At 41.2% G+C, this 23,890-nt stretch overlaps 1 protein-coding gene across 9 annotated transcripts in view, besides 2 other annotated features; it reads left to right on the top strand.

Annotated features, from left to right (window-relative positions):
* UVRAG (UV radiation resistance associated) overlaps window positions 1–23,890 on the top strand; it is a 329,023-nt gene that overhangs the window by 56,833 nt on the left and 248,300 nt on the right. For 8 of the 9 annotated variants that reach the window (NR_170160.1, NR_170161.1, NM_001386671.1 and 5 more), the window contains exons 4-5: window positions 7,837–7,998; window positions 16,787–16,861. Coding sequence is in view for 7 of the 9 variants with exons in the window: in NM_001386671.1 (NP_001373600.1) it covers window positions 7,837–7,998; window positions 16,787–16,861 (237 nt within the window). In the remaining 2 variants the exon portion in view is untranslated. The remainder of the gene's footprint in view (window positions 1–7,836; window positions 7,999–16,786; window positions 16,862–23,890) is intronic. The other variant, NM_001386672.1, reaches the window with a different exon arrangement.
* Window positions 1,533–2,034: an enhancer, noted in NCBI's record as "OCT4-NANOG hESC enhancer chr11:75584619-75585120 (GRCh37/hg19 assembly coordinates)". NCBI's record gives its function as "activates a minimal SCP1, AML or CMV promoter by ChIP-STARR-seq in naive H9 embryonic stem cells {active_cell/tissue: H9 hESC(naive)}" and the evidence as "EXISTENCE:reporter gene assay evidence [ECO:0000049][PMID:30033119]".
* Window positions 14,950–14,999: an enhancer, noted in NCBI's record as "active region_5281". NCBI's record gives its function as "activates an Ori minimal core promoter by ATAC-STARR-seq in GM12878 lymphoblastoid cells {active_cell/tissue: GM12878}" and the evidence as "EXISTENCE:reporter gene assay evidence [ECO:0000049][PMID:35858748]".

The raw sequence follows: 23,890 nt of genomic DNA on the forward strand, positions 1-23,890 counted from the left end.
ATATATTTGATCTAACTTGATAGTTAACAAGCTCTTTTTCATCTTCTTTTTGACTGTTCAAGGATAAGTGGAGTTGGTGGTCTGTTGAATTCCAGTTTAGTAAAATATTACCATTTGAGTTTTTCATATCCATATTACCTTTTAATGGATTTCCTTCCTCTCCCCTTTCTTAAATAGGGGAAGATTATTCAACCTTTTCTCAACAAGTCAAGGTTATCATGAGGAACATTAATGATTATATTATATTCGAACTTCAGGGGCTGCCTGGGACATAAGGCTCCATTATTCTTACTTTAGACAGTCCCCACAACATGGCCTTCCTCGTATACAAAAGTGATCTAATGCTGCCTTTTTTTTTTTTTTTTAGACGGAGGCTCACTCTGTCGCCCAGGCTAGAGTGCAGTAGTGCGATCTCGGCTCCCTGCAACCTCTGCCTCCCAGGTTCAAGCGATTCTCCTGCCTCAGCCTCCTGAGTAGCTGAGATACAGGCGCGCCCCACCACGCCCGGCTAATTTTTGTATTTTTTAGTAGAGGTGGGGTTTCACCATATTGGCCAGGCTGGTCTCAATCTCCTGACCTTGTGATCTGCCTGCCTCAGCCTCCCAAAGTGCTGGGATTACAGGTGTGAGCCACCACTCCCGGCCTGCTGGCATGATTTTAGAGTCAGTGTCAGATATTGACTTTGTCTTCCTGTTCCAGATATAACCAACCATATGACGTTAGACAAGTGACTTAATAATTCTTAGCATCAGCTTCTCCTGAAAAATTGGGATAGTGCTGTCTGTTTCACAGGACTCTTGAGTTTCATGAAGATTAAGTAAGAATATATAGTCAAATTAGTAGTATAGTACCTGGCACACTGAACCTTTGGTAATGGTGCTGGATATTGTAGAGGATAAATACGCTAGTAGAAATCCCTGCCTTTGAGGAGCTCACGTTCTGGAGGGGAAGACAGGCAAAAAAATCAGTGATGGTGATGTGTCATGCCAGGTGCCGTAAGAAAGTTAACCACTCACAGGTTCCTATGGGAGCATAGAGGAGCGGCAGCCAGCCCCATGGACATCAGTGAACACACAGCTTTCATTGTTCCCCCTTTCTTGTAATAATTATACCAGTAGTAAAAATGAGTAAAATGGTTTTTATTCTCTATTTATAAAGCATGATTCATATTAGGTGAGAAAGCGAATCACTTTTTCCAAATGAATCTTAAGCTATGCTTTCTGGTCTTGGCCTTAAATTTAATATTTTTGACCCCAAAGTGATTAGGTCTTGTTGCAGCAAAGTGCCAGGAATAGTTTTTTTTTTTTAATTCTGCAAATATTTGAATACTTACTTTGTCTCCAGGTTACTGTATTATCTACTTGGGAAAACAATAGCAAAAAAAGCCCCATCCTCGCAGTCGGTGGCAGGCAGAGAAGGCTGACAGTTAAAGAGAATTGGGAAGGCTTCTGAGGAAGAGATGTTTGAACTGAAACCTAGTGGTCAGAGAAACGTTAACCAGGAAAAGAATGGGTGGGGGTAGAGGCAGGGAGGGGGTCCCACCAGAGGCTCTCAGCTTCCTCATTTCAGAACTTGAGGTGGACTAGGCAAATTCAAAGGTCCCTTTTATTGCTTTCATTCCTAGCATATGTAAGCTAGAGGAAGCCCTCATTTTGTCTCTTTCTATGTTGTACGCAGCTTGCTTGTTTGTCCTGTAGTTCATGTTAAATTAAATCCGGTATAGTGCTCAGCATGTAGTAAATGGCTCACAAATGATTGCCATTACTCATGTAAGGTAGAGTTGGTGAAGGGTACTCAGTTCCAGGGGAGCAGGCACATCCTCAGGCTGCAGGCTAGAAGGCTTTTCCCCAGCATTCCTAGCTACAGTTTTCTCAGCGTCCTCGGTGGACAGTTGGGTGAACCAGTGAAGGGCCAGTTCCTTCTTAGCTAATCTGTAATGAATGCTTCATTCTTGTAGTAGTGGTCTAGGCTTTGCTATTATGTTTAGTCGTTTGTTTTGTCTCAGCTCTAGTCAGCTGTAGAGTCTGGTGATGGAGCAGCAAGAGCAAGTGTGAGACCTGTGGAGTCTCCCCAGTTCTTTCTCTCAGAGAATAGGGCATAGGCAGAGGGCAGAGTTCTTTCTTCCTTTTCTGCCTCTGGCTGTGAGATATAAAATAAGGAAATTGTTGACATTCTCTTTAGCCCGCCTTTGTTCTAAATTCTGTCTTTTGTAATTTGGTAGAAAGAGAAAAAAAAAACAACAACACACACACACAAAATGAACATGAGACAAATTCTAGAGAACTAGATTCAAATTCTGATACTGTTTTTACTAAGTGACCTTAGGCAAGAAGACTCAGTTTCTGTGTTTTATTGATTTTTAATTTTTCACAATTTAACATTCCTGCACAATCTAGATGCATCTTAAAACCAGTTCTTTTTGGTTGTATATACAATTATGATGCATTTTATGATTGGTGATGTCTTGGATTTGATGAAATATGGTATTTCGTCTTAACTATTAGAATTAACAAATTGTCTTATTTACTTCATGTGGATTTATTGTTAGGATTAACAAGGCTTATTCAGCAGATTAAATATTTGTATGTGCTAGAATAAGCATTCTCTATGCCCTTTTTATCTATTATTAATACTTTATATAGTGACTGTCACTAGTAAGTATTAAAATAGTAGCTATTGCTGTAATTAGTTTTTTATTACTATTCTGTTCAAGCTTCATAAAAACCCTGTGAGGTGATAGTTTTATAACTGAAGATTCTGAGACACAGGGAATTATGCAGTTCAACAACGTGGCTTCATTATAGCACTTTCCTCTCTACCACTCTGCCTGTCAGCTCTCTTCATTTTTCAGAGGAAAGGCTGAAGCTACGTGATTCTTTAAAGCCATTCCACAAGCCAGTGGTTCTGTTTGGGTGACGGTCTGCTGCTGTTCCCAAGCCCATCCACGTTTCTAGTGATTACTCCTATGTCTGCATAGCTTAGTGGTCACCCAGTGATTCGTGACTTTATGCTTAGATACCTCAAGCCAGTAACTTCTGCCAGTGGATTGTGAATTTTGTCCAGTTTTACTGTTGCTTTTTGGGGGAAAAATTTGCTGAGCTACTCATTTTATCATGTCAGACATCATACCCCTTCTTTAGATTTACTCTTATAGGTACCATTTATTTGCTATTCATTCATTCTTGCAGCAAAAATGTTCTGAGTTCACTTTGCCTAAAGTGCATCCTTTAGGATTTTCTTTAGTGAGCATATGTTAGTGTCACACTCCCAAGTTTTTTTGTCTGAAAATGTATTCATTTTACTCTGATTTGTGAAGAGTATTTTCATTGGGTGGATTTCTTGGTTGTCAGTTACTTGGTTTTATGTGTTCTGATATGGTTTTATTTATCTTGCTTAGGACCTGTTACGTATTTAAACCTGTGAATTAGTTTTTTTTTTTTTTTAATCAGTCTAGGAAATTGCTACTTATCTCTTTAAATAATTCCTTGCCTCCTTCCTTAATCCATTTTCTCTCTCTGGACTGCTTGCTAAATGCGTATCAGATCTTTTTACTCTGTCATCCATGTTTTTAAACCTTTTTTTTTTTTTTCATATTGGTCTTTTTATCTCTGCTGCATTCTGTGTAATTTCTTCTTCCAAGGAAGGTTCTCCTCTCATCTGTCATGGCAACTTTCCCTACAGACATCTGTGTGTAGGGATTTGGTGGATTTAGTTTAGTTTCACTTATGCTGTTTAGGGGTATAGCCCTTTTGTGGTCCTCAGTGTGGAGAGGGACATTTTTTAGTCATGGATGGGACCTGGGCCTGGCTCTTGAATTATGTCCTTGCTTCCTTTAAGAATGCCAAAACTGGCCACGTGCAGTGGCTTACCCCTGTAATCCTAGCACTTTGGGACGCTGAGGTGGGAGCATTGCTTGAGCCCATGACTTAGAGACCAGTGTGGGCAACATGGTGAGACCCTGTCTCTACCCCAAAAAGAAAAAAAGAAAAAGAATGTGAAAACCAAAGCCCCGGCTTTGTATAGATCCGTCATGGCTTCACGACAAAGACCTCTAGATCTCCACTTACCTCTCTGGGTTCTTTCTTCCTTGGTTTGGAAATTCTTTGATGTTAATGGTGATTATTATTATTATTTAAAAAATATTTTACCTGACATTTTAGTTGTTTTCAGTGAGAGGATTGTCTCATCAGTCATTATCAGAAATGGATGGCTCCCTTCCATTCACCCATTCACCCTTGGGCCATATAGTCTTTTATATTTACCCACATGTTTACAATTGCCAGTGCTCTCCATTCTTTTGCCTAGATCCAAGTCTATATCCAGTGTTGTTTCCCTTTAGCCTGAAGAACTTTGTAAGCATTTCTTGTAGTGTGGATCAGCATAGTTACTCCCAGACCTTATTGTTGTCTTCACATTTAATTGAAACTCTGCCCCTATTTAGCAGGGCTGCTAAAACAGTTATAGTGAGATACAGACTGGAGGTCATTTAAGAGTGGAATTCTGTTGATCTTAGACTGAAATTCTTGCATGGCTAGCATTTAGTTTTTATACAATCCAGTATAAAACTGACTGCATAAATGTGTGTGCTAGGTTATCATCATGTTATTTGTGGTAGTATTTCAGTGTCCTCTCCCACCTTACACTTTGGTCAGGAAAAAAAAAAAAACTGCCACAAAGCCAAGAACAGTTAGTTACCCTTATCTGAAGACCCTTTGATTTACTGATTTACATAATATGAAAATTGGTAATAGGTTGATTTTGTTTACATTCAGCAGTGAAAGCCCTTATGTTTTTTTTTTATTTTTTATTTTTTATTTTTATTTTTATTGATCATTCTTGGGTGTTTCTCACAGAGGGGGATTTGGCAGGGTCATGGGACAATAGTGGAGGGAAGGTCAGCAGATAAACAAGTGAACAAAGGTCTCTGGTTTTCCTAGGCAGAGGACCCTGCGGCCTTCCGCAGTGTTTGTGTCCCTGGGTACTTGAGATTAGGGAGTGGTGATGACTCTTAACGAGCATGCTGCCTTCAAGCATCTGTTTAACAAAGCACATCTTGCACCGCCCTTAATCCATTTAACCCTGAGTGGACACAGCACATGTTTCAGAGAGCACAGGGTTGGGGGGTAAGGTCACAGATCAACAGGATCCCAAGACAGAAGAATTTTTCTTAGTACAGAACAAAATCAAAAGTCTCCCATGTCTACTTCTTTCCACACAGACACGGCAACCATCTGATTTCTCAATCTTTTCCCCACCTTTCCCCGCTTTCTATTCCACAAAACCGCCATTGTCATCATGGCCCGTTCTCAATGAGCTGTTGGGCACACCTCCCAGACGGGGTGGTGGCTGGGCAGAGGGGCTCCTCACTTCCCAGTAGGGGCGGCCGGGCAGAGGTGCCCCTCACCTCCCGGACGGGGGGTGACCCCCCCACCTCCCTCCCGGACGGGGCGGCTGGCTGGGCGGGGGGTGACCCCCCCCACCTCCCTCCCGGACGGGGTGGCTGGCCGGGCGGGGGGCTGACCCCCCCCACCTCCCTCCCGTACGGGTCGGCTGGCCGGGCGGGGGGCTGACCCCCCCACCTCCCTCCCGGACGGAGCGGCTGGCCAGGCAGAGGGGCTCCTCACTTCCCAGTAGGGGCGGCTGGGCAGAGGCGCCCCTCACCTCCTGGACGGGGCGGCTGGCCGGGCGGGGGGCTGACCCCCCCACTTCCCTCCCGGACGGAGCGGCTGGCCAGGCAGAGGGGCTCCTCACTTCCCAGTAGGGGCGGCTGGGCAGAGGCGCCCCTCACCTCCCGGACGGGGCGGCTGGCCGGGCGGGGGGCTGACCCCCCCACCTCCCTCCCGGACGGGGCGGCTGGCCTGGCGGGGGGCTGACCCCCCCACCTCCCTCCTGGACGGGGCGGCTGGCCTGGTGGGGGCTGACCCCCACCTCCCTCCCAGACGGGGCGGCTGCCGGGCGGAGACGCTCCTCACTTCCCAGACGGGGTGGCTGCCGGGCGGAGGGGCTCCTCACTTCTCCAGACGGGGCGGCTGCCGGGCGGAGGGGCTCCTCACTTCTCAGATGGGGCGGTTGCCGGGCGGAGGGTCTCCTCCCTTCTCAGATGGGGCGGCTGGGCAGAGACGCTCCTCACCTCCCAGACGGGGTCACGGCCGGGCAGAGGCGCTCCTTACATCCCAGACGGGGCGGCGGGGCAAAGGTGCTCCCCACATCTCAGACGATGGGCGGCCGGGCAGAGACGCTCCTCACTTCGTAGATGGGATGGTGGCCGGGAAGAGGCGCTCCTCACTTCCTAGATGGGATGGCGGCCGGGCAGAGACGCTCCTCACTTTCCAGACTGGGCAGCCAGGCAGAGGGGCTCCTCACATCCCAGACGATGGGCGGCCAGGCAGAGACGCTCCTCACTTCCTAGACGGGGTGGCGGCCGGGCAGAGGCTGCACTCTGGGCACTTTGGGAGGCCAAGGCTGGCGGCTGGGAGGTGGAGGTTGTAGCGAGCCGAGATCACGCCACTGCACTCCAGCCTGGGCACCATTGAGCACTGAGTGAACCAGACACCGTCTGCAATCCCGGCACCTCCGGAGGCCGAGGCTGGCGGATCACTCGCGGTTAGGAGCTGGAGACCAGCCCGGCTAACACAGGGAAACCCAGTCTCCACCAAAAAAATATGAAAACCAGTCAGGCGTGGCGGCGCGCGCCTGCAATCGCAGGCACTCGGCAGGCTGAGGCAGGAGAATCAGGCAGGGAGGTTGCAGTGAGCCGAGATGGCAGCAGTACAGTCCAGCTTCAGCTCGGCATCAGAGGGAGACCATGGAAAGAGAGAGAGAGAGAGACCGTGGGGAGACGGGACAGGGACAGGGACAGGGAGGGGGAGGGGGAGGGAGAGGGAGAGGGAGAGGGAGACCCCCTTATGTTTAATGTAGGGGAAATAAGCAAAAGTAGTTGATGTATTACATTGTAGTTCATTCCTTTGATGTTATGAAAGCTCCTTAACATTTTCACTTTTCAGAGAGGGTTTCGACTCCCTGGACGGTTCTCTTAATGAGAAATAATGTTCTTTCAGAGCATAAAGCTGACCTTGTTATTTTCAACTTGAAAACATTTCAATGGCCCCACTGTTGTACAGAGTAAAGTATTCCCTCCTAGCAAAAGGCATAAAAGATCCTTCAGTTCAGTTCCTTGTGTGTCTGTCCAGCTTTGTGTCCTGCCACTTTTGTATTGTGTGCTCCAGCAGTAGTCCTGAGTGCCCTGACCACACCTTGGCATTTTACACCTCTGAGCCCTTTTCATATTGTGTTCCTCTTTGCCTGAAATTACTTATTTTAATCTGGTGAAAGCCCACTTATCTGTTAAAAGCCAGGTTTCACAGCCTTTGTGATGTCTTCCCCTGTTCATCAGTTTATTTTTCCTTTCTCTTCTGCTGTGTAGCCTTATGCATAATTCTGTTATTGAACTTTGCACAAAACAGTGTAATTATTTAAATGGAGGTTTGAATCCAACAGTAAGTTGGAGCCTCTTTGAGGGCATTGTTTATGTGTTGGCTGTTAATAATCACGTATTAAGTGTCGAATAAATGAATGAATTACCGTATGAAACCATGTAAGTGAGTGATAGGAATATACGCTTCTTCTAATGACTATAATAAGTAAGCAGAGAAATTCAAAAGTACCATTATCACCCCTTTTGTGTTAATTGTAATGTCTTCTTGGCTTACTTAAGTTTGCAATTTAATGTATTTATGAGGTCTTTTGGTTTTGAAAAACAAAATGATTTGTCACCTAATTGAAATAATCGTAAACAAATAGAGTTGTCCTAAAGCGTGTTTTCATTTTCATGAGCAGAATCCCACGTGGCGAAGTCTCGATTTTGGAATTATGCCAGACCGTCTTGATACATCTGTGTCTTGTTTCGTGGTGAAGATATGGGGTGGAAAGGAGAACATCTACCAGCTGTTGATTGAATGGAAAGTCTGTTTGGATGGGCTGAAATACTTGGGTCAGCAGGTAATTTTTAGACTGTAGTTTCAAGTAGTTGTCATCTCCAAATTAACGTGTCTAACCTTTCTGTTGATTCTTCTGATTCTGCGTTTCCTATTATAAAGAGAGACTTTTATGACTGTTTACTTATATCACTAAGAGAGACCTTGATGATCATTTACATATGTTATTATTTACTTATATTACTTACATTGTTATGTTTGAATCATTGCCTAGTTTAACAAACACCTTTGTCTGAAGAAATTTATGAAGATGGATTTGTGTGTGTGTTTAGGAAAGAATGTGCTTTCTCATAGCATTTTGCTTTTTCTGTCTTACTGGATGTCCTCACCTAGAATCTGAAAATTAAGTTGAAATAAGGAATATCACGTTAAATACCTCTCTTTTGACCAGTAGCGTTATTCCAGGAATAAGAAGAGCTACTATTTATTGAGCACAGGATGACACCTGCTTGGATTATTTGCTGCCACTGGTTCTCCATCTCTGCTGTACCCATGACTGATGTAGCTAGTAGATTACAGTTCTCTTTTTTTTTGAGACGAAGTTTCACTCTTGTTGCCCAGACTGGAGTGCAATGGCGCGCAATCTCGGCTCACCACAGCCTCCGCCTCCCAAGTTCAAGCGATTCTCCTGCCTCAGCCTCACAAGTAGCTGGGATTACAGGCATGTGCCACCATGCCCAGCTAATTTTTTGTATTTTAGTAGAGACAGGGTTTCTCCATGTTGGCCAGGCTGGTCTCGAACTCCTGAGCTCAGGTAATACACCCGCCTCGGCCTCCCAAAGTGCTGGGATTACAGGTGTGAGCCACTGTGCCTGGCCTCTACAGTTCTCTTTTAACTGGGCTCAAAAGTAGCTCCATAATATTTTCTTTCTTCCTTTCTTTTATTTACTTCTTTTTTTTTTTTTTTTTTTTTTTTTTTAAATTAAAGACAGGGTCTTGCCCTGGTGCCTAGGCTGGAGTGCAGTGGTGTGATCATAGCTCACTGTAGCCTCAAACTCCTGGGTTCAAGTGATCCTTTCCGCCTCAGCCTCAATCCCTCAATACCTCCTGCCTCAGCAAGTAGCTGGGACTACAGGCAGGCGCCATCATGCCCAGCTAATTTTTATTTTTATTTTTGTAGAGATGGGTGTAAACATGTGAGACAGGTCTCAGTTAATTTAGAAAGTTTATTTTGCCAAGATAGGATGTGCCTGTCACACCGCCCCAGAAAGACGTGCCCAAGGTGGTTGGGGCACAGCTTGGTTTTATACATTTTAAGGAAACATGAGACATCAATCAATACATGTAAGAAGTACATTGGTTCAGTCTGGAAAGGCAGGACAACTTGAAACAAAAGCAGGAAGACTCGAAGCAGGGAGGGAGCTTCCAGGTTACAGACAGGTGATACACAAACGGTTGCATTCTTCTGAGTTTCTGATTAGCCATTCCAAAGGCGGCAAATCAGATATGCATCTATCTCAGTGAGCAGAGGGGTGACTTTGAATAGAATGGGAGGAAGGGCCCCCAAGCAGTTTCCAGCTTGAGTTTTCCTTAATGATTTTGGGGGCCCAAGATGTTTTCCTTTCACATTGGGTTTTGCTATGTTGCCCTGGCTGGTTGTGAACCCCTAGGCTCAAGCAGTCCTCCTGCCTTGGCCTCCCGAAGAACTGGGATTACAGGCATGAGCCATGGCACCAGGCCTTCAGAATCCTTTCTAACAGTGTTCCAGGACAAAACTAGGAATCTGTTAGAATTGTAAATGAAATGAAACCTATTTGCTATCATCAGATATAGATTATTATAATTAATATTTATAGCAACCTTGTGAAGTTTGATATTATTGCCCTTATTTTCCAGATGAAAAAAATTGAGCCTCAGAAACTTTAGGAAATGATTCAAGATCACACAGCTGGAGCTAAGATTTAAATTCAGGCCTGGCTGATTTAAAAATTCATTCTCTTTGTCCTATACTGCACTGGTATATACATGTGGTCCTTGGTAACCCCCCACCCCACCTTGGAATGAATCTCATTTCTATTTTGTGATGCCTATGGTACTACTATTAAAGGTAACCATAAAATATTAGTCATAGATTATCTATAAACATCTTGATGCTTTCTTCATATTTATTCAATATAATACTTTCTGAGATGTTTCTTATTAAAGAAACAACTTAATTCTGCATTTTTTCAGGTTAAAAATCTGAAAATCTGGGCCAGGTGTGGTGGCTCATGCCTGTAACCTTGGGAGCAGTTTGGGAGGCTGAGGCGGGAGGATCACTTGAAGCCAGGAGTTTGATACCAGCCTGGCCAACATGGCAAACCCTGTCTCTACTAAAAATACAAAAATTAACTGGGCACAGCGGCATGTGCCTGTAATCCCAGCTACTCAGGAGGCTGAGGTGGGAGAATTGCTTGAACCGGGGAGGTGGAGGTTGTAATGAACCGAGATGGCGCCACTGCACTCCAGCCTGGGTGACAGAGTGAGACTCTATCTCAAAAAAAAAAAAAAATTTTTTTTGAAAATCTAAAAAAAACTAAAAATCTCTGTGCTCATTTTGCTTACCATACTTTTTATTTTTAAATTTTTTACCTGTAGTCACCATGCTGTAGTCTCGTGAACTTATTCCTCCTATTTAACTGAAATTTTGTATCCTTTGACCAGCATCTTCCCAAGCCTCCTCCCCTCCACGCAGCTCCTGCTAACCACCATTCTACTCTCTACTTCTATGAGTTCAACTTTTTTAGATTCCACGGACAAGTGAGATCATGCTTTTAACATATTTTTTTTATTTTGTGTCCTATAGTGACCAGAACAGTGCATATAATATATATGTTCTTTAAACTACATTCTAAACTACAATTTAAACATTTTTTAAAAAATCTTAATTTTTTTCTCTGTTTTAGGGATTATCTTAATTAAAACTTAGAAAATAATGACTTTTGGTTTAGGCCAGGGCCTTTGTTTTCTTTTTTGCTACCAGGTACTTGTTGCCTTTAGACTGACCAACCAGATCCCTGCACTGGGGTATATATCCCATCTATCTTCCCACATACCATACTTGGCTCTCTTTGGATAGACTCTGATATTAAGTACTTGTTTCTCTTCTACTTGAAAGTATCTATATTTCATGGAGGATGGTGCTTCTTAACGTTCTGGTTGCAGGGCTCTAGGCCTGAAGGGCTTTTTTGGCTAGTGAAGATGGGTTTCATCATGTTTTTCAAGTCACACTTTCCTTCGGTGGTGGTCTTGTTGCCATACCCAGCTGAGCTTATATCTAACCAGCCCTACTTTCAGAGAGTTGGCATTCAGGTGTCTTCATATAAAGTCAGTTATGCTGGAGTAACAGAGAACAAAAAAAAAAAAAGAAAAGAAAAAAAAAAAAGAAAAAACATGTTTCTTAAAGCCAGATAGAAACTTAAGATCATTGTAGAAAGTCAAAACTTATCTATAAAATAGCTATAACAAGTAACATACTGCTAAAAATAAGATTAAATAGAGTTATAAAGTTTTGGAGGAACATGAGGCTAAGATGTTTTAGGATAATAGCCAGAATCAGTTAGGTTCATTGATAGATCATATACTTTCTACCAGGCATTGTTCTTTGTGTTAAGGATCCAGAGATTTGTAGGACAAGGTTCTTAGACCCGGTGTACTGATGATTGATGAATACCTTCATAGAGAGCTGTGAGAGTCGTACGGGGAAGAGATATTTAGACCAGCTTGTATAGAATCAGGGAGGAATGACTTCTGAATAAAGTATTTTTTTTAAGTTAGGTTTATTGAGGTACAATTTACATGTCATAAAATCCACCCTTTTTAAAGTGTGCAATTCAATGAATTTGAAAAACCGATAGAGTTGAGTAACCACCACCATAATAAATAAAGCTACTATGAATATTTAAATATAGGTCTTTGTGTTTCTTTTGGGTAAATCTCCAGGAATGGAATTGATGGGTCTAATGGTAAATGTATGTTGAAATTTATAAGAAACTGCCAGTTTTCCAAAGTGACTATAACATCCTGCATTCCCATCAGCAATGTATAATAGTTCTGTTTGTTTCACATCTTTGCTATCACTTGTGATTGCCAGTCTTTTTAAATTTTGAGGTGGTATCTCATTGTAGTTTTAATTTGAATTTTCCTAATGACAAAATTAAATTGAGCCTTGTAAGCAAAAAGTCTATTTGAGATCAGTCTCTCTCTCTCTCTCTCTCTCTCTCTTTCTCTCTCTCTCTCTGTGTGAAGTGTTCAGATCTTTTGCTCATTTTTAATTGGGTTGTTTGAATTATTGAGTTGTAAAGTTCTTTATGTATTCTGGATATAAATCAGTCCTTTATAAGATATGTATTTTCCAATATTTTCTGCCAGTTTGTGGCTTGTCTTTTCATTTTTTAATGTTGGTGAAGTCCACTATGTCAGTTTTTGCTGTTGTGTTACATGCTTTTTGTGTCTTATCTTTGCCTAACCCAAGGTCACAAAGACTTTTTCCTTTGTTTTCTTTTGTAAGTTTTCTTCTAGAAGTTTTATAGTTTTAGGTTTTACATTTACATCAATGATCCATTTTGAATTTTCTATATAAAGTGCAAGGTTCATTGTTTTGCAGATGGATGAACAATTGTTCCTGTACTCTTTGTTGCAAAGGCTATTATTTCTCCATTGAATTACCTTGTCATCTTTGTTGAAAATCAGTAGTTGAGAATCATTTGTGTGGTTCTGTTTCATTGATCTGTATTTCTGTCTTAATGCCAATACCAAATTGTCTTGATTACTGTAGTTTTAAAATGTGTCTAGAATTCAGTCAATGAGTTCTTCAACTTTGTTCTTTTTTCAAAAAATTTCTGGCTATTCTAGGTCTTTGGCCTTTCCATATACACTTTAGAACAGTTTGTCCATTTCTATAAAAATCCTGGGATTTTGATAGATGTTGAATCTAAGAAAATTTGGGGAGAATTAACTTCTTAATAGTATTGAGTCTTTCAGTCTATAGATATGTCTCTCCATTTATAAAAATTTTCTTGTAGTTTTCAGCATACAGATCTTGCACATATTTTGTTAGATTTATACCTATAGATTTTTATGCTAATTTAAATGGTATTTCTTTTTTAATATTTCTGTTTTCAATTTTTTTTGCTAGTATATGTAGAAATATATATCTCTGTACTGAGCTTGTATTCTACACCCTTGCTAAACTCAAAAATCAAATCTGGTACTTTTTTTTGGTAGATTTCTTTTGTAGATTGCTTACATGGGTCATGTATCATCCTAACTTGCGTGTTATGGAAGAAATTCTTGTGCTTAGTTTAAGTGGTTAGAACTTTGTATTAATAACAACAACAATTGTATACCTCTTCAGTGTTTGGGTATCTTTTTACATACATACAATGACCTGAAGCTTTTTGAAGATCATGTGAACAAGTATTGTTTTCTTCCTCAGTATTTAAGAAAACAGAAGCTCAGAAAGATTCAGTGATTTGCCAAAGATCGCGCAGTGTTTGGTGGATTTAGGCCATTAGTTGTTTCATTGCTCAGACTGTATGTATTATTCATTTCACTAATCCTAGCAGCTGTCTTAAAAAGTATGCTGTTTTTCGTAAAGATATCAAAATACGAGGTTGTGGTTAAGTTCTAAGTTCTATAGTTTCCATATTAGGATTCTAATACAATTATTGTTAGGCCATTAACCTATAATTGATAAGTAAAGGATAGTACACATTACGCTTATTAGCATAATTTAGCAGTTCGGAAATGTGCACAGTAGTGTGCAATATGATACAGCCAGTTTTGTTAAGCATATTTATTAGTCAGGAACAAAGGGATCTTTCTGAGTTTTATGGTTGCCTTATTCCTAATACATTATTAGATTTTTTAATCAATGTTTTTTACATCTAATTTCCAAAAATACTTTCATATCTTATTATCTCACCGTTTTTATGACACTCATGCAAGGTAGGGCAGGAAATGTTTTCTGGTTTTTGGCTGATGAAGGAATTAAAGTATATACCATTAACATTGATAAACTACTATATGTTGGATAGAGTAGGGGTACCAGGGCTGTAAAACAAGTCAGAGTTCCCTTCTCTGAAGAGTTCCTTAAGAAACAGTTAAAGTTGGAATTAGAACTCAGGTTACTTACTTTTTAACCCCGTATCTTTTCAAGTACTAGTACTATATTGTTTCTTATTTTTCAACAAACTATTTTAATGCACGTCTTCATGAAGTTTACACTTTGAGAACTTTACCTTCATGTTAGATTTGTTTCTCCCCATACTCTCCCATCCCTTTCTTTAAGTGTATATTTTTATTTTCTTCTAATTTTGTTTGTGGACAATTTGGAAAATTTAGAAAAGCACAGAAAAGAGAATAAAAAATTACACGTAATTCTTCTGCCCAGCTGTAACCATTGTTAACATTTTGGTGAATATAATTTTAATCTTTTTTTCCCCAGGTATATATGTGTAAAAATGTTTTATGTTTATTAAATTTCAGGATCCTTCTAATCTTGAGACTGCTTTCATAATGTTTTCTCTTTTCCAAGGTGAAAAACTCCTTGAGATTGATTTATAGTTTTTATTTTAAACTTATGATTGCAGACTTATCTTTTGGTATTGTATTCAGTTCAGTAAATGATGTGGATAAACAGGGAGTATGTGATTAATTTTGCTTTGGTGATAGAGGTAGGAGATACAGAAGTCAGGGAAGTGTTCACAGGAATCTTCTGCTGCTGGCTTTGACTATTTTCCATCTCTAGGTAGAGAAAGGAGAGATTCTGTTCTGGTAGTCCCTCTTGTCTTTCCCCCACTTGAACTTTCACTTAAAACCTTCACGGCAGAAGAATTTTTTTTTTTTTTGCCACAACTCTTTCTGATGAAGTAACTAAAGCTATTTATATATTTCATAGTTGGACACTTTATACTACTTCGAGTTTTTTTTTTAATCTGAGTTCCTTAATTTTGTTTTTTTTTTTTGAGACGGAGTCTCGCTCTGTCGCCCAGGCTGGAGTGCAGTGGCGTGATCTCGGCTCACTGCAAGCTCCGCCTCCCGGGTTCAAACAATTCTCCTGCCTCACTCAGCCTCCCTAGTAGCTGGAATTACAGATGTGCACTGCCACGCCCAGCTAATTTCTTTTTCTTTCTTTCTTTTTTTTTGAGACAAGGTCTTGCTTGGTCGCCCAGGCTGGAGTGCAGCGGCGTGCTCTCGGCTCACTGCAACTTCCGCCTCCCGGGTACAAGCGATTCTCCTGCCTCAGCCTCCCGAGTAGCTGGGATTACAGGCGCCCGCCACCATGCCCGGCTAAATTTTGTGTTTTTAGTAGGCACGGGGTTTCACCATGTTGGCCAGGCTGGTCACAAACTGCTGACCTCAAGTGATCCGCCGCCTTGGCCTCCCGAAGTGCTGGGATTACAGGCTTGAACCAGCGTGCCTGGCGCAGGTTTTTTTTTTTTTTTTTGAGACGGAGTCTCGCTCTGTCTCCCAGGCTGGAGTGCAGTGGCACAATCTCGGCTCTCTGCAAGCTCTGCCTCCCGGGTTCATGCCATTCTCCTGCCTCAGCCTCCCGAGTAGCTGGGACTGCAGGCGCCCGCTACCACGCCCAGCTAATTTTTTGTATTTTTAGTAGAGACGGGGTTTCACCGTGTTACCCAGGATGGTCTCGATCTCCTGACCTCGTGATCCACCCGCCTTGGCCTCCCAAAGTGCTGGGATTATAGGCATGAGCCACTGCGCCGGGCCCCAAGTTTTGTATTTTTAGTAGAGACGGGGTTTCGCCATGTTGGCCAGGCTGGTCTCGAATTTCTCACCTCAAGTGATCCGCCCGCTTCGGCCTCCCAAAGTGCTGGGATTACAGGCTACCGGTGTCTGGCCTCAGTTCCTTAATTTTTAAAGTTTTATTCTTCCACCTTTTAAATGAAGTTTAATTTGGGATGCAATGACTGCAGCTCACCTCATCTGAAATAGAGTGGTTTGCAGACAATAATAGAAGAGAGTGGTTTGCAGACAGTAATAAAAGAGAGTGGTTTGCAGACATTTAAGACTTTAGGGATTGGATACTATTGCTTTTTTAAAAATTGCCTTTTTGAAAATAGAATATATTAATCTTTTATGTTTTTCTAGGGCTTCATTTTTTTTCTTATTTTTAAGACGAGGTTGTGCTCCCTCACCCATGCTGGAGTGCAGTGGTGTGATCATGGCTCACTGAAGCCTTGACCACTCAGGCTCCGGCAGTCCTCCCACCACAGCCTCCCGAGTAGCTGGGACCACAGGCGTGCACCATCATGCCCGGCTAATATTTTTTATTGTTATTGTTATTTGTAGAGAAGAGGTCTTGCTATGTTGCCCAGGCTGGTCTTGAACTCCTGAGCTTAAGCTATCTGCCCATCTCTGCCTCCCAAAGTGCTGGGAATATAGGCGTGAGCTACTGTGCCAGGCCTAGGCTTCATGTTAAAAAAAAATACTTTTAGAATTAATAAATTGTGTTTTCTTTGGGGTTAGAGAGGGTAGAATATGCCTCTGAATACCCTATTGTTCAGGAATAGCCATTCCATAACAACCTCAAGAAATGTTTGTGAAAGATATGTGAGTGATGGTGCCTGTGATTGCATGTGATAGTTTTGCAAGGCCTTTGACTAAAGCAGGAAATGCTGAATTGATCACCTGGTCTTTTGAATAGTGATTGGTTTTCTGCTAGTATGTTTAGATGTAGTCAGCCGGTTTCTCAGTATTGAAGTAGATCCTGTTGTAACTGTCATTCTCTGGTTGTATTAAAACATGATCGGAATAAAAATAACAAATACTGTATTTTCCTCCTCTCTTAGATTCATGCCCGAAACCAAAATGAAATAATTTTTGGGCTGAATGATGGATACTATGGTGCTCCATTTGAACATAAGGTAAGAAGATCCTTCTAATGTTATGAATTTTGTTTAGTGCAGGTGTGCCTTGCAGGTGTACAGGGTAGATATAATCCTGAAAACTCTGTGTAAATAGAATCATGCTTTAAATTTGTTGCTTAGTGTGGCTTAAGGTGGATGCTTTTTAATGGGAAAACTCATTCTGTAAGGCACATAACCATCCAGTCCATCTTTTCTAAATCCAGATTATATTAATTTTTCTACAGGAAATCTGGAGCTAGCTGTTTTCTCTTATTCTACATAACTCTTTGGGGGTTAAGAAAGGATGGTGAATTTTGATTAAATGCAATACAGTTTTATGAAATGTTTCAGATATCTTTTATAACTTTCAATACATTTAAGAAACTATGAATCGGTTGTTTTATAGTCAGCATTATCTCTACATCTAAAAGTTATTAGAGAAAGGAAAGGGAAGCGAATTCACATTTACCAAGTACCTACTATCTATGGTACTGTGCCAGGTGATTCTTGTCCTTTTCCTCACTTAATACTAGCCAAAACCAATGTGGTTTGTTTTGTCCTCTCCATTTTATAGTTAAGGAAAAAAGTTGTTTGAGATGAGCTTCGTAGGTTCACCCATCTAGAAAGTAGCTGAGCTGAAATTTCAGGTTGCCTGCCTCTAAAGCCTGTGCTTTTTCTATTCTACTATGGTGTTCTACCCAACAACCCTGTGCATTATTTGCTCTTAGTGATCATGTTGCTTCATAGCTCTTGGTTGTCTGAAATGCTGTTGCTTAGAGTACTTCATTTATTCAACAACATTTTATTGAGCGCCTGCTGTATGTCAGCCACTGTACTGTACTCCAAGTGCTAAGAACACAGTGGTGAGCAAATGGATAATTTCCTGCTGTTGTGGAGTATATATGCAAGAGGCAAACACTGATACAGTAATCTAACAGATAAACATGTAAACACAAATGGTGGTAAATGCTATATAAGCATATAATGAGGGCCTAACCTATTCTAAGGGCTCAAGAAAGGTCTTCTTGGGGACTTGACTTTTAAAGCTACACTCCAGATGATGAATAGAAGTGAACTGTGTAAAGGGAGTAGGGAGTAGGGGCTGAATAGAGAGAGCATTTCAGCCAGAGGAGGTTAACATGTTGGAAGGCCATGAAATAGAAGGGAACATGATGAGTTTTAGGGACTAAAGGAAGGTCAGAGTGATGAGGGGGGAGTGATACCCGATGGGGCTGGAGAGCTAGGCAGGGGCCACAGCACGCAGAACTTTTAAAGGATTTTACCCTAAGAACAGGGGTCTTTGTGAAAGGAGTTTTAGCACAGCAGTGTGATTATCAGATTTGCGTTTCAGTAATTTCATTCTGGCTGCAGTAGAGACTGATTGTAGAAGAGGCAAGAATATTTGTGGGAGACCAGTAAGGAGGATCTTACAGTATACCAGATAACAGATGTATTACTTTGAAACAGGGTGACAGTAGAATAGAGAGAAGATAGATTTAAGAAAGTTTTAGTAGATAAAATCATTAGGACTTGCTGATGATTTGAATTTAAGGCATAAGAAAAAGGAGGTGTCATGGATGACTTTTGGGTTTCTGGCTTAGATGAAGTAACTGGATGGATAAAGGTGTCAGGCACTGAGAAAACTAAGTGACACTGGAGGAAAACCAGGTTTGGTGGAGGCAGATTGTGAGTTGCGATTTGATCCTGTGGAGTTTGAGATGCCTTTGAGACATTCATGTGTAGATGGAAGTAGGCCTTTGGATCTATGAGTCTGAAGTTCAGAGGAGAGGACTAGGTTAGAAATATTTATGTGGGGCCAATGACAAACAGTCATTGGAGTCATAAGTGGTGATAAGATGGACTAGGAACAGGCAGTACTGTAGGAAGAAAGGGGGCTAGGTACCCAAGCCTGGAAGACCTCCAGTTTTTAAAGTCCACATAGGGGGCACCAGAAAAGATGACTGAAAAGAAGTGGCCCAAGGGAAAGAGAGCAAAGTTTTGTGTAGAATCTCAAAGTCCAGAGAAAGAAAGGGTTTTGTTGTTGTTGTTGTTGTTGTTATTGTTGTTTGTCTTTTTGCTTGTTTTTTTAAGAGGAGAGAGTGATCAAATAGGAGGACCAAAAATTGCCCATTGGATTTAGCAAAATGGAAGTTATTCAAGTGACTTCTTCAAAATTCAATTCAAACTCTGATAGACATTTTTCTTTCTTTATTTCAAAGCTCTCCTCTTCTAAGTTCCTATATCAACATACTATGTATACCTTTGACATAGGATATACCACTTTGCAACTAGGCTTGTCTTTCTTCCTTTCTAGCCTGTAAGCTTTTGAAGGACAGATTTCTATAAATAATATTGAATTCCCAGCACCTGCCACAGTTTTTGGGGTATGCAGTTTGCTTAGTAAAAGTGTTTGTGATTTAATGAAATAATTATGGGATTGCTACTGCTGCTGTTCATAATATCTCATGTACAGGGTTAGCTGTTCTAATACTGTTGCAACATTAAGTTCCTCCTGCAACTGGTATAACTCACCTTTTAGGACAATATCTGGCACATATAATAATAATATTAATAGCTAAAATGTATTGAGCATTACTGTATATCAAACACTGTAAGAGCTTCACATCTATTATTGTATTTAATACCCCAAGAACCTTATAGCCAAATCCTCAGAGCTGTTGAGATTTTGAGTAAGCCAATAACTAATACTCCTTTCTTCTCCTGAGTTTGGAGCAAGTTCAGATATAGGTGATAGTCTGTAATCCCAGTGGATTTTGGGAGGCTGAGCTGGGAGGATCAGCAGTTCGAGAGCTCAGCAGTTCGAGACCAGTCTGGGCAACGTAGCAAGACCTTGTCTGTACTAAAATTCAAACAAAAAATTAGCCAGGTGTGGTGACACGTGTCTGTAGTCCCACCAACTTGAGGGGCTGAGGCGGGAGGATTGCTTGAGACCAGGAGGTTGATGGTGCAGTGAACCCTGATGGCGCCACTTCACTGGGCAATGGACGAGACCCTGTCTCAGGGAGGGGAAAGAAAAAAAAAGGATAGGTGATAGATAAATGTAGATCAGAACATTGGCTTTATTACTAATAAAACTGATGGACAAATGTGATTTAAATTATGTGACTAAAAGAGTTTGCTGTGACTAAAAGGGCTTGTCGATTCCTTCTATATACTTCCTCTTGGACTGAACCTCCCCCACAAAATAACAAAACAAGTGAAACCAAGGTCTTCCTCTTATAGGAACAAAGCCTGAGCCTCCAAGCCAGAAGCAAAGTTTGTATGCGTGGTTAGACAGGTTGTTTCTGATTGGAGAGAACCTGGAAAGAATTAAGCCAGTCACACACAGGTCCATCTCTGAAGCCCAGCCATCAGATCAGTCATCTGCTGGTCCTGGAGAGGAGTGAGTGGAGGACACAGAGAAACTGCAGATGCTCCTTTCATGACCTTTTCTCCTGAGAAATGGAGTGGGGCATTTGTCTCCTGTGTGGGAACATGGGAATGCAGAGTAAGTGTTTCCCTCTAACGGGAATAATAGCTAGTATTTAGTGAGCACTTCTATGCTGGCACTATTCTAAACACTTTACACATTTTACCTTATTTAAACCTCACACTTGGCCTTTCATAGAAGAGGAAGTTGGCACAGAGAACTTAAGTAACTTTCCCCAAATTACGCAGCTCCCTGAGTAGCAGAGCTGCGATTCAAAAGCAGATGGTCAGTACATGCTTATTGAATATATGATCGTAATTAGTGGTGTACTTTCCCCTATTGTCCTTCAGTTAGTGAGCTTTGTTAATTGGATAAGTTCAGCAGATCTTGCCCCCTTTACCAGCTTTCAAATGAACACCTGACATGTAGACTGAACCTTAAAAAACCTTGTCTTTTTTAACAAAGCCGCAAGCAGAGTTTCCAGTCAAGATGACATTGTAAGTGTACACTTTGAGACCTTCCTCAGCACCAAGCAAGAAGCAAGGATTGATGAAATCGGAGAAATGTAAAAGAAATATTCCTGGCCGGGTGCTGTGACTCACGCCTGTAATCTCAGCACTTTGGGAGGCCGAGGCAGGTGGATCACAAGGTCAGGCATTCAAGACCAGCCTAGCCAACGTGGCGAAACCCCATCTCTACTAAAAACACAAAAATTAGCCAGGCATAGTGGCGGGTGCCTGTAATCCCAGCTACTCTGAGGCTGAGGCAGGAGAACTGCTTGAACCCAGGAGGTGGAGGTTGCAGTGAGCCGAGATCGCACCACTGCACCCCAGCCTGGAGGCCAGAGCAAGACTCCGTCTCAAAAAAAAAAAGAAAAAAAGAAGAATTATTCCTTCCTAAAACAAACAAGAAACCAAGGCAATAAACATCTCCCAAACAGAAGTGGAATAGAAACACAAAGAAGTGGGAAGAAGCAGAAGACTTGGGCCTTCTGGCCACTCTGCCCAGAAGTAGGCAGAAAGATGGGCTCTTCAGGGTAAAATGAGCACTAAATGAGCACGAAAAGCTGAGTGGGGCTCTCCCTATTAAAAAAAGGGCCGAGAAAAGACAGCTTAGAGAAACTGCAGAACTTTAAGAATAATCCTAAAAGGGGAAATTTGAAAAGCTACCAGCGAGAAAGGAAATATTACTCACAAATTAGGCTGACAGCAGACTTCTCATCAGCAGCAGTAGATGCCAGAAGAAATAGGTCTTCAATGCGCTGTTAATTATTAATTGTTTCTAGTAAACTTTCAGTCAAGAGTGAGGGTAATTTGAGACCAGCTAGGGTAACATAATGAAATACTATCTCTACCAAAAAAAAAAAAAAAAAAAAAAAAAAATTAGCCAGGCATGGTACATGGCTGTAGTCCAAGCTACTTGGGAGGCTGAGGTGGGAGGATTGTTTGAGCCAGGAATTTGAGGCTGCAGTGAGCTGTGATCGCACCATTGCACTCTAGCCTATGTGACAGAAAAAAAAAAAAAGCGAGGGTGAGAGAGCATTTTATTGATTGAGACAGAGTCTCACTCTGTTGCCCAGTCCCACCTCTGAGTAGCAGGGATTATAGGTGTGAACCACTGCACCTGTCAGGGATAGTTTTAAATGCATAAAGATTGAGAGTTTACTACCCACAGACCCTTTACCCATGCTGAATGATGCACATAGAAGATGATACCAAAGGGAGCATATAGTGTATAAGAAAACAGCAAGGGGTATACAAATGGTTAAAACATTAGTGAATTTAATTTCTGACTGTAAGCTAACAAACAAAAATAAATATCTGATAAACCTATGTGTTTTAAGGTGAAAGAAGCTAGGCCATTGTTATTCAAAATGTAGTCTGGACCGCTGCTTGTCTAGGAACTGTCTGTCACAATCTGTGGTGAGCAACGTGGAAAAAGTGAGGGTAAAAGTTTCAAAACTTCTATAGCAATTTGACGTTATTGTGACTCTTCATTGTATTTTACAAAAGTATCAGTTCACAATGGAATGAAGAAAAAAAAAACTCCAGCCAACTGGTCTTTCCCCACAGAGAGTGAAAAGCATTGCCCTAGACAACAATAATGAGAGTGGGTGTTCAAAGGGTTAAGACTCATTGAGATCACTGATTTGTTTGGGAGGAGGATAGAGATAGTAACCAACTTTAGAATTTGCTAGAAAAAATTTTGGTCAAGTGTACATGTTAAAAATTTAAGGATACCTAGTAAAGGCTAAAATCAGAGGGCTGAGTGTGTTGGCTCACACCTGTAATCCCAGCACTTTGGTCTCAAACCCCTGATCCCAAGTGATCCGTCCTCCTCAGCCTCCCAAAGTGTGGGGATTACAGGCTGAGGCACCCTGCCCAGACTGTATAATCCTAGCACTTTGGGAAGCTGAGGTGGGAGGATCGCTTGAAGCCAGGAGTTTGAGACCAGCCTGGGCAACAAAGTGAGACTCCCGTCTCTACCAAAAAAAAAAAAAAAAAAAAGATGGAAAGCAGAGATTATAGATTTCTAATTAGCAGAGGAAAAAAGGGAATAAAGTATAGAAAGCTTTGTCAACTTGGTAGGTAACAGAAAAGGAAACAAAAGATAAAAAGAAACATGTAGTGTGGGGGTAGCATTATGTCCAAATATATTTGTAATCACAATAATTATAAATGGATATCATATAGTTTTGAAGTATTTCGTTTAAAACTTTAAAAATGCTGAAGCAACAAGGCTTTGAGAACAGGATTAAATTTTAAGAATGAGTGTTTTATACAGAAGAGGAAAAGTTACCCTTAGGAAGCAATGACAGAGCACATTTTAAAGCAGCTTTCAATAATGCCTAAAATTTTTGTTGACCAGTTCTTTGGCATTCTTCTTTTTTACATTAGCTGTGACCAGAAACAGTTTTATTATTATTGCTGATGATTTTGTTGATGTTAATACTCCCTCTGTCTACATTATCTTAATATGTCTTCAGGCACTATGGATCTAAAAGCTGAAATTACTTATCTGTTCATAACTTTTCCCTCTTTGTTTATCTGCTTCTCCCAAAGGCTTTACATCTTTCTGTTGAGTTTTTAGGAACCAAAATCTCTTAACTATAGAATACAATGGCTAAGTAGTTCATTTTCACTTCCAGGAGTGTGTTGGACACTACCTAATACACTGAAAAATTTTTCATTAAAATAAATACTGGATTTTAATCCTTTGTTCAGTAACCTCTTCTGGCATTGTTAGGGAGTGATATATTCTGGTTAAGCGTATGTAGCAAAATGGTCTTTATTTGGCATACAAATGTGGCACTCTGTTTTTTTTTTTTTAAAGGAAAAAAAAATAGAGATGAGGTCTCACTGTGTTGCCCAGGATGGTCTTGAACTTCTGGGCTCAAATGATCCTCCTACCTTGGCCTCCCGAAGTGTTGGGATTACAGGCGTGAGCCACCACACCTGGCCAGATACTGCAATCTTAAGTATTTAATAGCAATTCAGACAAAAGAGAAGTTGAATAAGTGATGATGCAAATTTTTGTCTTAGTTGTAAAAGTGATTCATGATTTTTTTTCCTGGCAAAAAATGTCAAGCGCCTACTACAAGCCTATTATTAAACTAG

This window comes from Homo sapiens, chromosome 11, assembly GCF_000001405.40.
Source record: "Homo sapiens chromosome 11, GRCh38.p14 Primary Assembly".
Taxonomy (NCBI): Eukaryota; Metazoa; Chordata; class Mammalia; order Primates; family Hominidae; genus Homo; species Homo sapiens.